The 22,549-nt window shown below is 44.0% G+C and overlaps 2 protein-coding genes across 4 annotated transcripts in view, besides 3 other annotated features; one reads left to right on the forward strand and one right to left on the reverse strand.

Moving 5' to 3' along the window:
* Positions 1 to 22,549, reverse strand: part of SCARB2 (scavenger receptor class B member 2) — a 75,796-nt gene that overhangs the window by 46,398 nt on the left and 6,849 nt on the right. For 2 of the 3 annotated variants that reach the window (NM_001204255.2, NM_005506.4), the window contains exon 1: positions 8,293 to 8,690. The exons of the other annotated variant lie outside the window; for it this stretch is intronic. In NM_001204255.2, coding sequence (NP_001191184.1) covers positions 8,293 to 8,409 — 117 coding nt within the window. In that variant the 5' untranslated portion in view covers positions 8,410 to 8,690. Of the gene's footprint in view, positions 1 to 8,292; positions 8,691 to 22,549 lie in introns of those variants that run through there. 3 annotated transcript variants of the gene reach the window in all.
* Positions 8,091 to 8,495: a silencer, noted in NCBI's record as "fragment chr4:77134378-77134782 (GRCh37/hg19 assembly coordinates)". NCBI's record gives its function as "represses an EF-1alpha promoter that drives an FKBP-Casp9 reporter gene in an ReSE screen in K562 erythroleukemia cells {active_cell/tissue: K562}" and the evidence as "EXISTENCE:reporter gene assay evidence [ECO:0000049][PMID:32094911]".
* Positions 8,091 to 9,028: a biological region, named in NCBI's record as "ReSE screen-validated silencer GRCh37_chr4:77134378-77134782".
* Positions 8,409 to 9,028: a silencer, noted in NCBI's record as "silent region_15487". NCBI's record gives its function as "represses an Ori minimal core promoter by ATAC-STARR-seq in GM12878 lymphoblastoid cells {active_cell/tissue: GM12878}" and the evidence as "EXISTENCE:reporter gene assay evidence [ECO:0000049][PMID:35858748]".
* The window catches only part of FAM47E (family with sequence similarity 47 member E), a 69,744-nt gene continuing 56,100 nt past the window's right edge, over positions 8,906 to 22,549 (forward strand). Inside the window, exons 1-2 of the mRNA NM_001242936.1 lie at positions 8,906 to 9,290; positions 12,445 to 12,554. Of these exons, the coding sequence (NP_001229865.1) occupies positions 12,474 to 12,554 (81 nt within the window). The 5' untranslated portion in view covers positions 8,906 to 9,290; positions 12,445 to 12,473. The remainder of the gene's footprint in view (positions 9,291 to 12,444; positions 12,555 to 22,549) is intronic.

Here is a 22,549-nt window from a genome sequence, read left to right on the forward strand (position 1 = left end):
GGGCAACACAGCAAGACCCCATCTCTACAAAAAAATATTTAAAAATTAGCCTGGCATGGTGCACACCTGTAGTTCCAGCAACTTTAGAGTTTAAGGCAGGAGGATGGCTTGAACCCAGGAGGTCAAGGCTGCAGTGAGCCATGGTAGTGGCACTGTACTCCAGCCTGGGTGACAGAGAGAAGCCCTATCTCAAAACAAAAACAAAAACAAAAACAAAAATAAAATAAAATAAAACCCCAAAATATTGTATATTTGAAAAATGCTGAGATTAGATTTTGTGTTCTTACCACAAAACAAAGATAAGTAATTGAGGTAAGGTGTATGTTAAACAGCTTGATTTAGCCATTTCACTATGTATATCTATATGTATATCTCTCTCAAAACATCATGTTGCATGCCCTAAATATGTACAATTTTGACTTGTCAATTAAAAAATGAATTTTAAAAAATGGGACTTGTGATGAGTGATTACATTAGTGTAACAATGGCACTCTGCCTCACACTGTCTCTGGAAAGTGTGTAAAATTCAGATGCTGAAGGGGCCAGATGGCTAGGGCAAATGAGTGACACAGGCCATGGGTTTGTACATTTGTTTGCATGTCAAACCCCAGCAGCAATATTCATTTCTACAGAGAAACATGCCCTCCCCCATTTCTGTTAAACACATGATCCTCTCAAGCTATCTTTCATTTTCCTTCTTTTGGTAAGGAGTGTCAGATATAGAGAAACATTTCTCTACTCTAAGAAACACAACAGCACATGCACAACAACGGATACCTTCACTGGGCCTTGGGAGCCAATAAGGGCGCAAAGGACGGTGGGTGCTGTGGTCTGAATGTTTATGTCCCCTCAAAACTCCTTTGTTGATATCCTTACCCCCAAGGTGGTGAGATTAGGAGGTGGGGCCTTTGGAGGTGATTAGGTCACGAGCGTAGAACCCTCTCGAATGGGATTAGTTCTCATAAAAGGTACCCCAGAGAGCTCATTTGCCATGTGAGGTTAGAGTGAGAAGACCATAATCTATGAGGCAGTGGACCCTCACCATACCCCAAATCTGCCGGGGCCTTGATCTTGGACTTCCTAGCCTCCAGAACTGTAAGAAATAAATTTCTGTTGTTTATAAGCCACCCAGTCTATGCTATTTTGTGACAGCAGCCTGAATGGACTAAGACAGTGGGAAACAGGGAAGGCAGGTCTCTTCTAAGGGTCAGCCTCTTTTCTGCCGAGACAGCTACCACACAGAACTTGGTATGACGAGTACCAAAGAACATCCACATGTTTCAAGAGAAGCTGGAAATCTGGACCAATACGTGAAGTTTCCAGATTTTAAAGGTATAAATCATTCATGAGACAAACATGTGACCACTGGCCTACAGAGTGAGGCAAAATGTGAGACTAAACAACAAAATGCAAACAAAATCATTTCCAAAGAAATTATTTTCTCTATTCATCCAAGTAACACTTACTGACCATCTATTTTGAATAAGACATTGCATTTGGCAGTAAGAAAAGACACAAAACTAAATACGACAGGACATCTACCTTCAAAGAGAGCTTTCATACTAGATTAAAATACCAAATTACGTCATATGGGTTGAAAATCCCCGCAGGGCTGAGGCCAGAAGGGAATTACTGAGTAATTCAATTATGGAGATATGAATGCTCTTGTCTACTTTGATCAGCACTCGGGGAAAGACAAGAGATTGTGGAACTGGAATTACTGATGGCCCAAACTCCTATTTTTAACACTGGACTCACAGGAAAGCCAAAAGGACACAGTAAATCAAAGACACACCAAGCAAAATCCTGGTTGTTTGAAAACATTAACAAGATAGCTTCCAAACTGGCCTTACAGGAATATAAAACAGGGATATTATGTATTTTTAAAAATATTCTAAAAAAATAATTAAATGAAAACTAGATCAACAGTTCTCAAAGTGTGATCTCAGGACCCCTGGGGAGCCCGAAGACCTTCTTAGGAGGCGCCCACAAGGTCAAAACTATTTTAATACTAAGGTATCATTTGCGTTTTTAATTCTATTATTTCTCTGAGTGTAGAGTGGAGTCTTCCAGAGGTTACGTGATATATAATGATGTCATATTGGAATATGTGCTTGTGTAGTCTTCTGTTTTAAACATTTCTCAAAAATACATATCAGTTTCAATTTCTAATATTGTAACTATCAATAGGTATGGAAACATAAGTTCTTTGGGGTCCTCAATAATTTTTAAGAATATGAGGGGCCCAGGAGTTTAAATTGGATTATAAAATCTGCAAGGGTAGAGACTGCCTCTTGTTTAGTGTTATATCCATAGCTCTTAGCACACTGCCTTGCAAATGGTACACACTCAGTAAATATTTGTCAAATGAAAGAATGACTGCCAAAGCATGTACCCAAAAGTGCATTTAGATATAGAAAGCAAACACCTAAAGTGGTCTTTATTTTTCCTTGGTTGTTTTTTCCAGTTACCAGCTTGGATTAAAAATGGTCCCTTCCTTAGTGTATAGTGTATAGATAGTGCATATCTTGATGATATGGCCAGGAATGTCTAGTAACTTGGCCAACATCCTATGTTTTCATCAATGAGCTTATAATTCCACCTCCTGATTCTTCCTGGGAAATAAGCAAATGTCTGGCAGAACAGATGGCCCCTCTGCTGTGGCCTGACAGAATGAAATCTTGGATTTATTTAACAATAAAGCAAAGTAGTTTCCACAGGCAGGAATCTTCCCCTCCTCACCAAATAATATTTCCTTTAATGTAAACTTGCAGATTAATAGTAATTATAAGTAGTAATCTCCTCAGTCAGAATTACCATCTTAAGGAATGAAGACATGGTCTAAAATAATCACTATACAAATATAAACACCTTTTTTAAAAATGCATATTCCCAAAATTGCAGATTACGATCCCACAGCAACCTGCCTCCAGTAATGGATTTTATGATAAGCACTTTAACCTGAGTTCTGTTCCTAATGAGTCTGATTCAGCAAGTCTGGGATGGGGTCTGGTATTTTCTAAATCTTTGTAAGTGATTTAGATGCATCTCCTAGAGTCTAGGGGCTATGCTGACAACTGTTAGCCTACTATATTGTCTTAATCATTAATAAGGAATGCACTCATAGTCAACATGAATTAGTAAGACACTAAAATAAACTTAATATGATTTTGATATCACAAGATCGTGTTTCTAAAAGCCAGGAAAGAATTTGGATAATTTTGCTTAGGAGTTAGAGAATCTTGCAAGGAAATTAACGACACTGCCTCCGTTTACAGTGCTATAGTTTCTTCCTGTGCTGAGCCAATCACATTGCTCCGTTATAAACTTGGAAAAGAGAAACTAGGAGATGAAGCATGTCTATGAGAGGTCAACAGCTGGAAAGTCACACTGAGGCGGGGCTGAGCAAGCCCGGATGAGTACAGAGCCAGGCTGAGTAAACAGAGGAAGCCTGTTGGTGGAGAAAGCAGAGGAAAAAGTGGGAGGCAGAGTGTGCCTGCTTCCTGCTGACTTTCCACTTTCGGTTGTCCTCTCAGGAGGCCTTACTGTGCCGTGGTTCTTGCCCTTTGATTTCTATGAGCTTCCCCTTCCAGATTTACAGAAACAAAAAAAAGAATCCTCTCTTGCCAGAGCTAGTTTGAGTAGGCCTCAACTCCTTAAGAGAGCCAAGAAGCGGGATACATTGTGGTCTGTAAGGACAATGTAGCATGAGAGGTGAGGGATGGCCATAGAATTTATTGTCCAAAGCAGAAATCTTTTGGAGGAAAGGGGGTGTTAGTGATTACACCAGCACAACAGGTACACAGAAACCATGTAGGACTATTCCAGGCAAATGGGATGTATGGTCATCCTTGAGATGGGAAAAGTGGGTTCAGGATCAGAAGGCTAGCTGGCACGCTCTCTCCTTCCCTCTCCATTTGACTTTAGATAAGTCACTTCTATTCCAAGAGCCTCAATTTCCTTGACCGTAAGATAACAGATTTAAGATATCTTTACAGGTTTTTTTCTGATCAAGAAAAATCTCAGACTAAGATAAGTCTTCTTTGAATAGAGGCAACTCAGGAGATGAGGTAGATATGCAAGAAGGAGCCTTTTAAAATGATATATAGCTGAATGCCTTTACATACACATCAATAAAGATGTTTTGCTGATTTGACTTTAAAAAACAAGATCCCATAGTCACCAATCAAAGCAATCTGGTTATCAGTGATTACATTTTACTTCTTTTTTTATTTTTATTTTTATTTTTTTTGAGACAGAGTCTTGCTCTGTCGCCCAGGCTGGAGTTCAAGGGAGCCATCTTGGCTCACTGCAACCTCCGCCTCCCGGATTCAAGCGATTCTCCTGCCTCAGCCTCCCGAGTAGCTGGGACTACAGGCACCTGCCACCATGCCTAGCTAATTTCTGTATTTTTAGTAGAGACAGGGTTTCACCATATTGGCCAGGCTGGTCTCGAACTCCCGACCTTGTGATCCACCCGATTCAGCCTCCCAAAGTGTTAGGATAACAGGCGTGAGCCACCACGCCTGGCCTATATTTTACTTCTTGAGGAATCGGTAGAACAGCTCCAGAGTTTCTATGGCTCCCAAAAGAAACCAGCTGGTACTGACTTGCCCAGAGCCTCAGGTCCAGATGAAGGGGAAGTGTATTTGTCCTGTTCATTGCATCTCTGAGACCTAATGCTACAGTCCTGCCTTGACCTGTGAAGAGGAAGTCAAAGGTGTAAACAGTCTCCCACTGGTTCCCTTGCCATCCCATCCCTTGTTGGCCAGCCCTGACTGTGGCCAGTTCTGCATCCCTATTACTGGGAGACAGTCAACCTGCCAGCACGTCTGCAGAGATTAGGAGCGCAAACTTAATATTCTGAACTGCATAGCTGCTCTTAAAGGTCATGGGATCTCAGAAGTTTGGAGCTAAGAGGAACCATAGCTTGTATAATAAGTTTCAATTCACAGATGACAAATATAGCTAAAGACATAACAACTGTTAACGTTCAGGCATTGTGCGAGGCATTGTGCTGGGTGCTTTATAGATATCATATTATTTCATTCTTGTGACAACTCTGAGTTAAGTATTCTTATCCTTATTGTTCCTATTTTCAAAATGAGGATCCTTAGGATTTGAGGGATTAAATAACTTGCCACTGTGCTTGTTCAGCTTAGTCCAAGAAATCCTTAGGGACAGAAAAAAAATGTTTGATTCAGTTCTGCTGATTCTCAGGACACTCTTCTTTCTATTAAAATGATCACAGGCGAGTGAAGAGGCATTTAATATGTATCTCAGGCACTGTGCTAGGTGTCAAGGCAGTTCACTGGGATACCAGATGAAATGTAACGTAAACTCCTGCCTTTCCAGGCCTAAGGGAGGAAAAGGAACTGCTGGGTCTCTGCAAAGCTCTCTCTTCATGAAGGCCCAAACGCTTGTAAGGAAATGCCTTATTAATGCTCACAATATCCCCTAGGAAGAGGGTGTGGGAAAAAGAGAAGTACTATTATGCCTCTCTTGCAAATGAGAAAATTGAAGCAGAAACAATTACAGGCCTTGCCCAATACGAGGCAGTCACCACTGAGGCCAAAAATGAAACAAAATTGTCTTGGTTCCTTCCACGATATTCACTGGCCAAAATTAAAAGTCTCTCTTCAGTTACCTCTGGTCACTGCAGGGTTCAAGGACAATTATCATTTGAGACAACTTTTTGGATAGGAATTCTCTTACTAAGCTTCCCACACCTACTCATTTGAATTTCATCCCTTTTCCCTCTTCCCTTTTTGACATAGACAAGTCGGGGCATAGACAATCTTCAAATGAAAAAACAAAGAACTGGAAATATCAGAGTAGATTATATTATAACTACATTAGAATCAAGTTATGAATGAATTCTCCCATAGTAATACTAGTGGCAATAAAGATGACTGCCACATATTGATTACCTATTCTGTGCCTGATACTATGCTAAGTGCTTTATACTTGGTCCTACAATAATACACATGCAGAGACAAATCCAGGTTTTGTGGGTCCTGAAGCTTATACAATTTGAAGGGTCCTTCTTAAGAAAAAAGAAAATTTGGGATATAGAATGAGGTACAGGGCTTCGCAAGGGTCTGTGCAAGTGAGAGACCCAAAGCTTAACTTTGCGAGTTTCATGGTAAATGCATCACTGTGCCCAAGTTAGCTAACAGCTCATATCCCCAGTTTTACAAGCAATGAAATTGAGGACCAAGTAAGTTATTTGACGTAAGTCATAAAGCTTATACTGGCAAGGATAGGATTTGAACATATGGAATCTGACTCCAAATCTCACGTATTTTCTTTGTGTGGCTTCTAATAAAAATAAAGTTGCTATCACCTATTAAGCACTAACTATATCCCAGAAAGATCACACCTTAAGGTTATAAGAATTATTTGACAAAGCAGATGTGATCGTTAGTCCTTATTATCCCTATTTACAGATGGGGAAAACATGAATCAAGTAAGATTAAACAGCCCACGGTCACCGAGCTGGGACATAGTGGAAGCTAGGTTTCATGCCCAGGAGTGTAACATCCTCAATCTTTCCCACTGTCCCATGCTACCTACCACCCTACAGGTAATCCAGGAAAAAGCAGAATAGCGATGTGTGACTTACCTCTAATGACAACAGTATTTCCACACCTGCCCACTGAAACTAGCCCTGTCCTTTAGTTTCATACAATACACCGTGCAGTCCTCCTTAGCTGGGATTGAGCAGCTCTGAAAGTCCACTTCCCTGTACTATTACTTATCAGAACAGAGTCCATTCCTCATGGAGAAAAACACTTGGAAATATCAACACAAACTCAGGCCCCAGCCAAGTTGCCTTACAGCCACCCCCTCACCCAGAGAAATGGAGACACACAGAGAATCTAAGGGCTGGCTATATGGGAACCACGGGGAAGATCACTCATCCTATAGGGCTCCTTGAAACAGCCTTTCAAGGCCATATAAGAAAACTCACATATTTACTATAATTGGATTGCTTTACTCTAGTCACCCAAAGCAAGAGTTTACATCCTCAAACACAGCTCACCATGGATTTGGACATGGACAGGAGTGGAGAAAGGATTCAGTTTCTTTTTTCCTTGAACATGATTGCTCAAAGGAAACTGACCCTCGAGACGCTCAGACAGTGGGCCTTGTCTTCCCTTGGCAATGTGAACTTTAAAAATTACATTATGCTTTGCCATGGTGCTTTTTGAAAAACTGCCTTTAACTGCCAGATTTCAGGTACTCACTTAATTACTTTTGGAAACTCAGTTAAAGGAAGATATCCATTGCCACCTGGAATAAAATAGCTTTACTGACTGGAGAGTGCAGTGATTCAAAGTAGACTAGGCCTGGGCTTTTTTATCTGGCCGCAGCAAGTGCAGACCAGTGGGAGAAATGAAGCGTGCAGTTATGGATGCTAACAAGAAAGGCTGCTGCTCCAGTGATTATTTTTCTTTTTTAAGGAAAAAATGATCCCAGTAATTCTCTTTTGTTCCTCTTTTGACACAGCTTGGTGGATGTGGGGGAAAGGGCAGATGAAATGACCAGTGAAATCAAAAGATGAAGTCTTCTTAAAGGACTGGCTCTCCAGCCCAATCATCTAGAGGAAGAGACAAGTTCAGATTCTTGTAGGGTATCTAAATGCATCTGTGCCTGAAAATTATGGCCGTTTGAGAAAAACAAGAATTCATGGTGAGACAAAGCAACACAGACTGTTGGTACAAGATACAAAGCCACTAAGTCAGCGTTCAGCAAAGACTGATGGATGAATTGTCACCCAGCCTAAAGGACTGGCCCAGCTACCAACTGCCCCTGCCCAGCCCAAGAGGGCAAGAACACAATAGACCGCACACCCACGTCTCATCCCCAGGCGCACACCACTTCAAAGGCTACAGCAAGCAGACAACATAACCTGCCTCTTCTGCGGTGTCTTTCATTCAGTTCTGTTTCTTCATGAAGTGGGAAGGAAACAAGTTTGGGCCCACCTGAGATTGGGGTGTAGACGGAAGGAGTGGGGAGAGATGCAAACGACAGAACACAACCGAAGGCCTTTTTAAAAGTCAGGATCCATAGCCTTACTTATCACTGTAAAGGGAACAGAGTCGGCTCCATCCTTCCTCATCCTTCTTTAACCCTCGCCTACCAAGCCCTGGAAGACAGGGACGCAAGAAGAGCTCTAGCGCGGAGGGTCTGCCTGAGTGCTGGTCTTTCCCATACAAGATGTAGCAGCAGGGATGGGAGGGTGAGCTGGACGACTCCACAACACACACACAGCCCGCCCCGCCTCACCTTCTCGATACTCTGGTCTACAGCCTTCTGGAAGACCCGGGCCACCAGCAGCGTGACGCTGGTCACCAGCAGGAGCAGGGACAACGTCCCCGCCGTGTAGAAGCAGCATCGGCCCATTCTGTGCGCCGCTCACGGGCCGGGCCGGGCCGCACCCGCCAGGGATCCAACTGCAAGGAGGGAGGAGCCGCCGCAGAGGCGTCGAAGACCCGGGACCCTTCGGCGCCACGCCCACGCCCTCCCGGCGCACGGTTCGTGCGCGCAGCTCTGGGCTCCGCGGCCTGGCGAGCGCGGCCCCGGGTGCACCGGGCGGATGGGGCCGCGGAGGGACGGGCCCGGACTCGGTTTCGGTTTCCTTCGCCGGGCAGCCGTGGCGCCCGCCTAGCGCAGCTCGGGAGAGTGCAGGGAGCGCGCAGGGACGTGACGTTCGCGGGCCGGGCTCGCCGCAACCCCGCGAGGCAACCGCCGGCGACTGCGCGGGGAGGCGGGCGGGGGCGGAGGCCGCAGTCATGTGCCCTGCGGCGGCGGCAGTGATTCGGCCCGCGCCCTCCCCGGCCGGTCCCCGGTGGCCCTGAGTGGCTGCGGCGCCTGAGCCAGGCCCGGCCTGGCCGCTCCCAGCGCCCTGCACCGCAGGCCCAGCGCTCGCCCCACCGAAATTGCCGAACCTGGTTCACACACTCATTTACTCATTCCGCAGATAGGTCTGAGGGCCTCCCATGGGCCACGCGCTGGGGATTCAAGGTGGCTGGGACATTCCCCTGCTCTAGAGGCGCTCGCAAGTTAGCGGGGACACCGTTACCGCAATTACAACACAATGTAGCAAGTGCTTCTACCAGGTGCCTGCTGAGATCATGCCAGCAAGCATGTTCTGCCTGGATGACCTAGGGCCCCACATTGAACTGGGGCCTGGGGGATGCATAAGTTTGTCACGTAAGGGGCATGTGCAAGAATGGAAGATGTGCAAAAAAGGGAGGAGGAGGCATTTCACGGAGAAGGAAACGGTGAGCAAAGGCATTGGGGGTGAAAGAGCAAAACCTGTAGGAAGCAAGAAGGAAGTTCCTTTTGACTGTAGGCTCAGGTGTTCAGGGGGTGGAGTCGGAGGTGTTGAGGCCCCAAGAGGTCAGACTTTGAAGGGCTCTTGGTATCCTGTTAAAGATGTGGAAGTTGGGAAGGAGCTTAAAGCAGGCATCGCTGGTGTTCTTGCCTGCTTTGCTCACTGTGGTGTCCCAGACACCCAGGACCAAGACCTGCACACAGCCAGGACTCAAGAAGTGTTCGTTAAATGAGTGTTTCTTCTACGCCAGCCCTTTACTAGTTTCTTTGCACAGTTCTACTCATTTAATACCCTTGGCAGTCCTATGAATAGGAGGTTGTGTTTGTCCCAGTCCTCCAGAAACAGTCCCAGATGGGGGTACTATGCAAGAGAGTTTTGAGGGAAAACAGGGAGCTGGACCTGGGATGCAGGTGTGATCCTTGTGAAGGAAAGAGGCAAGCAAGGAAGGAAGGTTGGGTGGAAGGAAGCATTTGATATATATACAGTCCATGTATAAAAAGTTCAGCAAGGCCATTGGGGTGGGGAATCCTTTAGCCAAATGGGCTTGTCCCAGAAGTCTGGCATCTCCCAGAAAGAGGCCCGCCTTAGTATCCCTGCTGTGCTCAGTCATGAGCTGGGAGCAGCCTTAGGAAGCTGGCCTTTGCAGCAACCTAGGGATAAATATCAGGGTATGGATTTCAGCAGAGCTCAGCAGTTGAGGCGGAGCCATTGGTCAGTTATGCTATCTACACTGCAAGATCCAAGAAGTACATTTTCTTGGCAACTATAGTGTATTATCCTCATTTTACACTCAAGAACACTGGGGCTCTGAGTTAAGTAACCTAACAAGCTCAACTGGTTGCTGAGTGGTGGATCCTGCTTGAACCAGGATGTAGGGCTGGCTGTTGGCTTCCAAAACCCTCACTTTTTCTACTCTGCGCATTGCTGCATCCCGATCTGTCACTAATGAGAATCTGAGGACAGCAAATCAGTTAGGAGGCTTTGTTGAGGACTTGGTGAGATAGCATGATGGTTTAAAAATGGTGGCAAATTATTTGTTACTCCTTTCGTTGAGAGGTGGGGTCTATACTTTCTCGCTTTGAATTTGGGCAGGTTTTAGCAATTTGTTAAACCAATAGAATACAGTGGAAATGACCATATCCTGGAACTTCTGAAGCTAGATCATAAATGCCTTGCAACTTCTGCTGGGGCCTTTGCAAATTCTTGCTCTTGGAGCCTCAAGTCACCCCTAAGTTCAGCTACCCGGAGACTGCTGCAGAGAACATGGGAAAGACTGTGGGGAGAAGCCCTGAGTCTGTAGGAAGAGAAATGTCCCACCAGTCCCCAGCTGTCCCTAGCCTTTTGAGTCACAGGCCCTAGACATTACAGAGCAGAGGTGAGTGGTCCCTGCTGAGCCCTGCTCAAAATGCAAAATAAAGGATTGTTGTTGTTTAAGCCACTGAGTGTTGGTGTGGTAGGTTACTCAGTAGATAACTGGAGCAGATGGTAAGGGCAGAACTGAGGCTGGGACATTTTGTAGCTACCAAAGCTCTTCAAGCAGCAGCCCCAGAGGACCAGTCCTGTGTTCAAATAGAACCTGGTGGGGTCCTGAATGATTCAACTGTCCCCAGCCTGATGGGTGGGTGGTCTCCAGTCCTCAGGTGTCCACAATCGGCAGCCTTTCTCTTCCCCTAATCCTGCCTCTTCTCTGCTGTTAAGTTTCAGTTAGCTACATTAACTCTGCTCTGTGCCCCAGTTTGCTTAAGGAGCAATGCTAGCCCACTAACCCTCACATGTCCCCTACCTAGGCATTGGTTGAAGTCCTCCTGTCATCTATATGTCCTCTCCTTCCCTAACTAGAAAAAAAAATTTGGTAACTTGCCTGCCTAGGTACTTTGGCACTCAGAAGTTCATGCTCACACTGAACTTCCACCCCCTACTCTCTGACTGCTACAATCAGATTTTCTGTTTGCGGGCTCCATTCTGGAGGGCAAACTCCATAGGTACCCACTCCTCCCATCCCTGGACCACCAATCCCAGGGTACTCTTCCTTTTCATTGTTCATTGAGGTCCCTTCTTCTCTCTTGTCTGGGCCACCAGGACAGTAACAGACTGTGGGGATGGAGAGATGGAGACAAATTTGATAAATGTATCTTAGTGTGGGAGAGTTTCTAAACAAGGGTTTACAGCTCAAGTTGCCCTCAGTTTACCTGCTCTCTGAGGATCTCACTCTGTTTCCACTATGTCAGGCGGTTAGTAAGCCACTTCCCCTTTAAAACTCTGGACAAGCCGAATGAAAATCTCTTTCTTGGTTCTTCTTAACACAGCTGACCAGGCTAGCATTTTTAAATGTGTTAACATAAGACAGAACAAAAAGGACCTAATTACAGAAAATATAAACAGCTTTTAAGAAAATAATGTATGTTCCCAAAATAGCAGTCTGTGATCCCACAGTAATCTCTGTCTTATCACCGAGGCTGGCATAACTTTTTAGCAGCTGGCCTGGCTGTCTTTCTGTTCAGTTCCATCTTCTCTACCCACAGCTATGTTCAGAAGCTTTTGACACAAAGCCCCAAAATCCAGATTTAAGTTTCTCAATGCCCTTTGGGACTTCCTCCTCATTTCTGATCTATAGGACATGTCTGCACCGCTAATTGGCATTGTTAGTTTATTGCCACAGGATCATCTCACCCTATGAGAGACTTTGCCCTCTCATCCAGGGAGTAGCCCCTGCTTGCCAGCCACTAATAACCCTGAACACACTCTGGAGGGGCAGACAGCTTGGGAAGGGGTTACTGCTCCCAGAGTTTAGATGAGGAGGCTGATGCCAGGGCAGGGAGACAATCAGGACTCTTCCTGGTGACTTCTCTGCTATGGTTTGGATTTGTGTTCCCTCCAAATCTCATGTTGAAATTTGATCCCCAGTGTTGGAGGTGGGGCCTAATGGGAGGTGTTTGGGTCCTGAGGAGAGATTGTTCATGAATAGATTAATGCCTCCCTCAGGCATGAGTGAGTTGTCAGAGAGCGGGTTGTTGAAAAGAGCTGGCACCTCCTCCTTCTCTCTCTAGCTTCCTCTCTGCCCATGTGCCTCACACAGGTGTGCTCCCTTTCTGCCTTCCCAGGAGTGGAAGCAGCCTGAGGCCCTCATCCAATGCAGATGTCTGTGCCGTGCGTCTTGTCCAGCCTGCAGAACCATGAGCCAAATAAACCTCTTTTCACTACCCAATCTCAGGTATTGTTATAGCAACACAAACAGACAAGGGCGGAAAATGAGGAGACTGATGCTGTGGCAAGGAGATACGGTGATCTCTCTATACCTAAAATCAGAAGACTTTATCTGAGAAGAACAAGTACACTTAATGAATGATTGCTGGTGCCTGTTGAAATTATGCAATCATTCGGGACTTAGAAAAAGAGCTTTCTTCACAGACTCTAAGGGCTATCGAGGGGAAGCAAGAGGGCTCTTTGGGCTCTACCTTAAATTTAGAATGTTGATACTATACTCAAATGAGTTTAATGATGTAGTCATTGTATACTTTTATGTTCAAAGTGTTAATGTGTTAAATATAAACATTTAAAATACACCACAGGCCGGGCCAGGTGGCTCATGCCTGTAATCCCAGCATTTTGGGAAGCCAAGGCAGGAGAATCACTTGATCCCAGGAGTTTGAATGGAAATGGCCCTAGGCCTTGCCTACTTTGGGACAGGTCAGGCTCCAAGATACTTCTAAAAGTCTTGGCTTTCTTCTTATTGAAGGTGATCTATAAAATGTACCATCACACCCTAGTGATTTGACATATGTTATTCCTAAATGTTTGTGGGGCATCCTAAATCCTGAGCAATACAGCCTCCATAAGAAAAAATTACTCTCTCCTCCCTCCTCCCCTACCCATCATTCCAAAGTTCTTACATTACAGAACTGCTTTATGCAGATAGGCTTACATATCCCAGAGGAGAGCTCATATACCATTTATATTATATCACATGCACCTGTGCCAGGCCACAGGGACTCTCTGTGAAGTTACCCATGTCCCTGTCTACCGCCTCCTCCGATCAAGAAGACCTCATGGCTTCCTCATTATCATCTTTGCACCCCCAACTAGGGGAATCTTTTCCAGTTTGTTTTGGTTTGGTTTGGTTTTTATTTTGTTTGGGGTTATGGGAAAATGAGAATTCCCCTCTTCAAATTCTTATTTTCCTTTTTGTTCCCCTAATAATGCAGACTTATTGAAACACGGAACTAGGAGGAGATATCCTATTCACCTTTTTCTCTTCCCTTTCCTGAAAACACAAGCGTAGTGTTGTCTAACTAATAGAATGTGTGGTTGGAGGGCGAGGAGTCAGGAGATCAAAGAGGAGAAAAATATAGTGGGCAAAAAGGGTGAATATGTCAGCAATATTATCTGCTACTTGTACATAGTACTTGTACAAGCACTATGCTAGACAGTGGGCTTGCATTACTTCATTTACTCCTTACAATGCCCTATGATGTAGACATTCTATTTTAAGGATAAGGAAACTGAGGCACACAGAGATTGACTAAGTAGTCCAATGTTACTGGCCAGTAGGAAGCAAAGGTATTACTAAATCCAAGTCAGTCAGATGCTTTAGCCAGGCTCTTAACCCCTTAGCCACTGCTTGGGACTTCTGGCCTCATGCTTATTAAGAGTAAAAGGAAAGCAGTGAAAATTGCAAAAAATAAAAATAAAAATAAGCAATGGCACTGGAATACTCATGGTGACCTGGGCATCCAGGAGGGGCACAGGTTGGAATTAGTGTGTGTGGGAGACAATGCCTCTGCCTGAACCTGATGTTGAACTAGAATGGAGAGCCAGGAAGGAGTTGCCAGTCCGGTGGCCAAAAATATACTTTGCAATATATCTAATGTATATTCTGACGTGAAATGTATTCTAGTCTGTTCTCACTTGAGGTACTTTGATGGTACTTTCTAGAAGCAAATGAAGCTTGGGTTGGGTTTAAACTCACTGTGGCAAAGCCAGCATATTGTGAAATATCAAGGCTGTCTGATTTCCTGCATGTTGTGAAATCAGGGCTAAATAAACAACACGAGAGGTCACAGTTATTCTTTAATGATGTGTTCCATGGGGAGAAGCTGTATAAACGAGAAAGCCAGGTTTACTCAGCATCTCTTTCTGAGGGGAGAAAGGGGGGATGGAGAGTGAAGAGGGGACTGTCTGAGGGTAGAGGCAGACTTTGTCAGCCTGGAGTGGTGGGGAGAAGATATTTGGCCAGAGATAGGGGTGCAGTAGTGGAATGGGGAATGGGGGGCTTAGATATTAGACTATGGAAAGGGTAAAAATAAGCCCCGCCCCTCACCACTAACCTGGTCCCCGCATGACTTCTAACCACTGCACTCACCACATATCCTGAGAGTCTGAAATGATTACCTAGAAGCCTCCTATACTCATCAAACCTCAGAGAAGACTGCTATTCAGTTAACTTTACAACAGTTGTAAGCATTTCCAGTTCTTTCATAAATAAATACTGTTTCTTTTTAGTGTCAATGAAAAACGTTTCAGAATATTAATGAGTAGTGTTTGCTTCAATTGCACTGCAAGCTATCTTAAGCAGAACTGTTTCCTCCATTTTGAATCAAACCAGAGGAGATAGAGATGCAAATCACAGTTCTTTAAAAAGTTAAACAGAATTATCATATGACCTAGCAACTCTCTTCCTAGGTATATAACCCCCAAAATTGAAGACAGGTACTCAAACAAATACTTGTAAACCAGTGTTCATAGCAGCATTGTTCACAATAGTCAAAAGGTGGAACCGACCCAAATGTCATCAGACAATAATAGATACACAAAATATGTTATAGACATACAGTGGAAAATACTATTCAGCTATAAAAAGGAAAGAAATAGGCTGGGTGTGGTGGCTCATACCTGTAATACCAGTATTTTGGGAGACTGAGGCAGGAGGATTGCTTGGGACCAGGAGTTCAAGACTAGCCTGGGCATCATAGCAAGACCCTATCTCTATAGAAAAATTAAAAATTAGATGGGCACGGTGGCATGCACCTATAGTCCCAGCTTACTTATGAGGTGAGATAGGAGGATTCCTCGAGTCCAGGAGTTCAAGGCTGCAGTGAGCTGATTGTGCCACTGTACTCCAGCCTGTGACAGAGCTAGATCCTGTCTCTTAAAGAAAGAATGAAGTCCTGATACATGCTACTACAGTGCAGACTTCTTTTCTTTTCTTTCTCATCTGCCATTTCTGATGTGAGTAATGGTCCCTCTTAGAATATGATCTTTTTAAAAATCAGTGATGGGAAAAGAATTCTAGAAAGTTCTGGCAGTTTTTTACCCAGGGAGAAATAAAAGGGATAACCAGTCATAGGTACATTTTCTGTTACATAAGAAGCAAGATTGTACAAGAATGCTTCCAGGTGCTCACCTGGGATCAGCTGGGACCACAGGGGTTTCTTCATTCTCTCAGCGGAGTCAGTACACACACTCAGCTTCCCCTGGGGATGGCAGCTTCCTCCTGGTCCTCTTTATTTCCCCATGGGAAACTGTACAACTCACAGGCCCCAAGGTCCCTCACTGATTCCTAATCAACTCCTGTAAAGAGTCAGCTCCCTAAGTCCAGACTGCCTGGCACCATGCAATCTGTATATTCCCTTATGAACAAGGCCACTTTCCCATACCTGCCCACAGGAAGAAAAACCCATTGTGGCAGGGGAAGGGGACAGGCTTTCTCCTCTGGAACCGAATCATACAGCCCAGCAGCCTTCACCTGCTTCACTAATGGTAAGCTTGGGCGACCACTGCCTCACTGGTCCTGGCCTGGGGAGTTTTTCTTTTCCCCACTAAAGCCTATTCCCCATTACTCCTCTTTTGTTTGGCATGGGGGAGATGAAGTTTCGCTCTTGTTGCTCAGGATGGAGTGCAGTGGTGCAATCTCAGCTCACTGCAACCTCTGCCTCCTGGGTTCAAGCGGTTCTCCTGCCTCAGCCTCCCGAGTAGCTGGGATTACAGGCACCTGGTACCACATCTGCCTAATTTTTTGTATTTTTAGCAGAGACGGGATTTCATCACACTGGCCAGGCTGGTCTTGAACTCCTGACCTCAGGTGATCCATCCGCCTTGGCTTTCTAAAGTGCTGGGATTACAGGCATGAGCCACCGCACCCGGCCTATTCCCCATTATTTCAAGCGAACTACTGCAAAAACAGAGAAAAAATACCGCATGTTATCACTTATTAGCTAAAGAGCTAAGCATCAAACACACACGGACACAAAGATGGGAACAATTGACACTGGAGACTACTTGAAGGAGGACGTGGGTGAGGAGTATAGGTTGAAAACCTACCTATTGGGTATCATGCTCACTACCTGGGTGACAGGATCCTTCGCACACCAAACCTCAGCGACACCCAGTTTACCTGTGTAACAAACTTGCACATGTACCACCTGAACCTAAAATAAAAATCAAAGGAAAAAAATGCGTATTCCTTAATCTATGCCACATGATGTTGTGGAATTCATCCCAAACTCTTTAACAATAGGTGACTACCATGAAGGGATCCACCTGGTATACTAATATCTCTATATGAAACAACAAAAAGAAACTGCACATTTAAGAATGAGGCCTACACAGAATTTCAGGGAGGCTGGGCAGGCCCAATCCTTTATCTGAAGAAAAATCTCAATATTCAGTGGTACAAAATACTACTTTTAAATTCAGTCTCCAATCCTTCCAGTGTCCAATTCATGAACATCTGGGCATCATATTTCCTATCTTCTTTTTTTTTTTTTTTCTGAGACCGAGTCTCACTCTGTTGCCCAGGCTGGAGTGCAGTGGTGTGATCTCAGCTCACTGCAACCTTGGCCTTCTGGGTTCAAGCAATCCTCGTGCCTTGGCCTCCCCAGTAGCTGGGACTATAGGCGTGAGCCACCATGCCCAGCTAATTTTTGTATTTTTTAGTACAGACGGGGTTTCACCATGTTGGCCAGGCCAGTCTCAAACTCCTGACTTCAGGTGATCCACCTGCCTCGGCCTTCCAAAGTGCTGGGATTACAGGCATGAGCCACCGTGCCCGGCCTTTTTCCTATCTTCTCCTTAGTCCTTAACTCTCCGCTGCCTCCACCAGCCCTGTCCTAGAGGAGCCTCTCAAGTTCCGGGTAATCATCAGAGGAGGGTTTTGGTCCTTCACATTCTTTCAGAGTCAACAGCACAAACCCATCCTTTGCTTGTCACTGTTGAAGTTCTCTCAAACTCTATTTACTATGTCTGAGCAAAAGGTAAATATTACTTGCTATATGCCAAGCTCTGTTCTAAGGACTTCACATCTATTAATTTTTCAAAGGTCTGGGTAGGGGAAGAAGACCCTGGTCATGGATATTTCTACCATGGAGGACTAGTAAGCCCCAGCTGAGCGCCTAGTTTAAGTCTTGGTCAGGCAAGAGTTCCAAGCTGAAGCTCAGAAGAAAGGCAGGGGGGGAAGAGGCCCAGGTGAAGCCTCGTGCATGGGAATCGACCATGTAGGTGTAAGAATTCTCTGGCAGGATCAGACCTTGACAGGTGGATGCATCAGACTAATGATAATTGCACACCCCTTCAAAGCCATATTTTTGTTCAATATCAAAGGTAAGGCTTTGTGGGGGCTGGTAGCAGATGTCAACCTCTTGTCAATCCAGCTCTGGGGGCATGTTTGTACACCATTCAGTAAAACAGTCCTCCAGGTGTTAATGAAAACTACCTTCCTTGGAAGTACTTTATTTTAACCTCAGCTCATTTCTGCAAGTGGCTTAACCAAGTGTTCCCTCCAAACACATACAGTGCTTGGCCTGTGAAAGGCTTTGGGAGACAGAATTGTCTCCTTCTTGGTAGATTTCCAGTGAGTTTTGGGTAATCTGCATCCTGGGGAGTGGTACAGTAGCCCACCCCTTATTGGGTCCTACTTAGCCAGAAGTCTAACTTTGAGAATTCATCAAAATTTGGCTGGGTACTGTGAGAAGACAGCAGAATCCTGTATAATCCAGAATCAGAATCAGAATGTGATGTGCATCACAATATTATCACAGTTGTCTTTATTATCACCGCCCTCTTCCTCTAATCCCTTGCTACTCAAAGTGTGATCCCAAGACGTTGCATTGGAACCACCTAGGAGCTTGTTAGAAATAGAGACTCTCAGGCCCTGGTCTGGGCCAACTAAACAAAATTTGCATTTGAACAAGAACAACCTATGACCCATGAGTAGAGTAAAGTGTGAGAAGCATAGCAGGTTAGTCCATAGTCCCTCAAGGCCCAGTCACAAGTGTGCTTTTCCATAACCCTTCTTCAGGGGACCTCAAAACTGGTATTTGGACTCTCCACTCTCCACCTCACTAAAAGGAGAGTGTCCCTGGCCTGCTTTCCACCCTCAGAGTGAGTCTCCCTGGACTATTGAAGATCACTATGTCTTGGGACATTCAGGCTTGATCTTTGGGCTGCTACCCTATCCCTGAGCGATGTGTGACACAGTCATGCTGTCTTCCCAGGTTCTGATGATGTTGGGGGAATGTAATTAAAAATAAAATCTCCTGCCAAACCAGGAGACCTCCCCACAAACACAGAAGGGAAAGACAATTTATTATTGAATAGGTATTAAACCAGAATGTGACGTGCATCACAGGCAATCTGCTGAAGAGATTGCAGATTGCAAAGTCAGAAAGAAATCTTACCCTTTCCTATATCTAGGCAGATACAGTCCATTACATACATGTTTTCAGGTAGAAGACTTGACAGCACCATTGTCACACATAGTTCATCCGAAATTCACGGGATAATTGGGCTGGCCATCTGTGTTAATTGCCTTTATCCGAAGGAAAAATAAAACTTCTCATATCTTTATGACAGGAGGTAGTTTTGCAACTTAGAGCCAGGCACCTTAGAGTTAGGCTCCTGCCCTCCCACAGAAATGGAGAGAGGAGGGGCTGTCTTTCTTGATGATTACACTTCAAAGGGTTCACTCCCAAGTCCTTAAGAAAAACATTCCTGTGTTGTAAAGGTGGCAGGAGACTTTTTTAAAGCTTTTAAGAAGATGTTCATACATCTTAAAAGGGCAGAGAAAGAATAAACAATTATAACTTTTTAAAAAATCCTTTTTATTTTATTGAGACAGGATCTCACTCTGTCACTCAGGCAGAGTGCAGTGGCATGATTTTGGTTCACTGCAACCTCTGCCTCCCAGACTCAAGCAATTCTCCCAGGTCAGTCTTCCAAGTAACTGGGACTACAGATGCAAGCCACTAGGCCCAGCTAATTTTTGTTATTTTATTTTATTTATTTATTTTTAATTTCAGAAGTTTTTGGGGAACAGGTGGTGTTTGGTTGCATGGAAAAGTTCTTTAGTGGAGATTTCTGAGATTTTGGTGCACACATCACCCAAGCAGTAAACACGGTATCCAATGTGTAGTCTTTTATCCCTCACCCGCCTCCTACCCTTCCCCCCAAGTCCCCAGAGTCCATTATATCATTCTTATAGGCATAAGAATGATATAATGCATCCTCATAGCTTAGCATCTTATATGCATCCTCATAGCTTAGCTCCCACTTGTGAGAAGATACAATGTTTGGTTTTCTATTCCTGAGTTACTTCACTTAGAATAATGATCTCCAACTCCACCCAGGTTGCTGCAAATGCTATTATTTTGCTCCTTTTTATGGCTGAGTAGTATTCCATAGTAAATATATATACCACATTTTCTTTATCCACTCGCACTCGTTGGCACTTGAGCTGGTTCCATATTTTTCCAGTTGTGTATTGTGCTGCTATAAAGACACATGTGCAAGTGTCTTTTTCATATGATTTCTTTTCCTCTGGGTAGATAGAGTCTTCAGCATTTTCTAGGTATATGATCATATCATCAGCGAACAGTGACAGTTTGACTTCTTTACCAATTTGGATGCCTTTCCTTCCCTTGTCTGACTCCTCTGGCTGGGACTTCTAGTACAATGTTGAATAGCAGTGATGAAAATGGGCATCCTTGTCTTGTTCCAGTTCTTAGGGAAATGCTTTCAACTTTTCCCCATTCAGTATAATGTTGGCTGTGGGTTTGTCATAGATGGCTTTTATTACCTTAAGGTATGCCCCTTCTATTTCGATTTTACCAGGGGTTTTAATCATAAAGCGATGCTGGATTTTCTCAAATGCTTTTTCTGCATCTATTGAGATGATCAAATGATCTTTGTTTTTAATTCTGTTGATGTGATGTATCACACTTATTGACTTGCGTAAGTTAAACCACCCCTGTATCCCTGGTATGAAACTCACTTGATCATGGCATATTATCTTTTTGATATGCTGTTGGATCCAGTTAGCTAGTATTTTGTTGTAGATTTTTGTTTCCATGTTCATCAGGGATATTAGTCTGTAATTGTTTTTGTTGTTGTTATGTCTTTTCCTGGTTTCGGTATTAGGGTGATACTGGCTTCATGGAATGATTTAGGGAGGATTTCCTCATTCTCTATCATTGGAATAGTTTCAGTGAAATTGGTACCAATTCATCTTTGAATGTCTGATATAATTTAGCTGTGAATCCATCCGGTCCTGGACTTCTTTTTGTTGGCAGTATTTTTTATTACTGTTTGTTGGGGTGATCAGACTCAACACCAGGTCGTGGTGGCTATGAAGTCCGACGGAGTCAAAGGAATGAGACAAGACAAGTTAAGAGTACATACGGTGGGTCCAGGGAGCCAACGCTAGTATGGAGGCTGCGAAGGCCCTGAGCTCTGGGAACCCATACTATTTACTGGTAATCAAACAAAGAAGCAGGTGGTGAGGACGTGTGGACATGGGGGTAAACAGGTGAGGACATGAGGACATTGAGGGTAGAAAGGCAGTGGTGCATCAAGTGTAGCTGTCACAGTTTAGCATTATGCTCTGCTACTTGAGATAATGGAGAACAGGTTCTTCTAATTCAAGATACAATCAATTTATGATTTTGGGAGAGCAAGGAGCAAGGGGCCAGTGAGTCTGGACACATTCCAGAGGCTAAGAGGGGTTTTATGCCCTGAGCCCTGGATTCCATCCAAGCCACAAGGGGTTTTATGCCCTGGATTTAGATTGTAGTGCTGTGGGGCAGCCTTCCACTCTTTGGCACAGAGCTTGGTGTTCCATAGGCCACAAGGGGTTTTGGACCCTGGACCCAGGACATGTTCCAAGACTCTTCTACGTTATGTCAGACAAACAAGCCCTGCCTCAGCCCTTCTACCAATACTGTTTAAGTCTCACTGCTTGTTACTGGTCTGTTCAGAGTTTCCATTTCTTCCTGATTTAATCAGGAGTGTTGTATATTTCCAGGAATTTATTCATCTTCTCTAGATTTTCTAGTTTGTGTGAATAAAAGATGTTCATAGTGACCTTAAATGATCTTTTGTATTTCTGTGATATTGGTTGTAATAGCTCCCATTTCACTTCTAATTGAGCTTTTTTGAATCTTCTCTCTTCTTTTCTTGGTTAATCTCACTAATGGTCTATCAATTTTGTTTATCATTTCAAAGAACCAAGTTTTTTTTCATTTGTCTTTCGAATTTTGTTTGTTTGTTTCAATTTCATCTAGTTCCGCCCTGACCTTTGTTATTTCTTTTCTTCTGCTGGGTTTGGGTTTGGTTTGTTCTTGTTTCTCTAGTTTCTTGAGGTGTGACCTTAGAGTGTCTATTTGTGCTCTTTCAGACTTTTTGATGTAGTCAAAAGTTTGATGAACTTTCCTCTTAGCACCACTTTTGCTGTGTGCCAGAGGGTTTGATAAGTTGTGTCACTATTATCGTTCAAAGAATTTTTTAAATTTCCATTTTGATTTCATTGTTGTTCCAAAGATCATTTAATGTCCAAAGATCATTCAGGAGTAGATTATTTAATGTCCATTATTTGTACAGTTTTGAGGGTTCCTTTTGGAGTTAATTTTCAGTTTTATTTCACTGTGGTTTGAGAGGGTACTTGATATAATTTTGACTTTTTAAAATTTATTGAGACCTGTTTTGTGGCCTATCATATGGTCTATCTTGGAGAATGTTCCATGGGCTGATGACAAAAATGAATATTCTGCAGTTGTTGGGTATAATGTTCTGTAAATATCTATCTGGGGTATAGTTTCAGTCCATTGTTTCTTTGTTGACTTTCTGTCTTGATGATCTGTCTAATGCAGTCAGTGGAGTATTGAAGTCCCCACTATTATTGTGTTACCATCTATCTCATTTCTTAGGTCTAGTAATACA

Source organism: Homo sapiens, chromosome 4 (assembly GCF_000001405.40).
Source record: "Homo sapiens chromosome 4, GRCh38.p14 Primary Assembly".
Taxonomy (NCBI): Eukaryota; Metazoa; Chordata; class Mammalia; order Primates; family Hominidae; genus Homo; species Homo sapiens.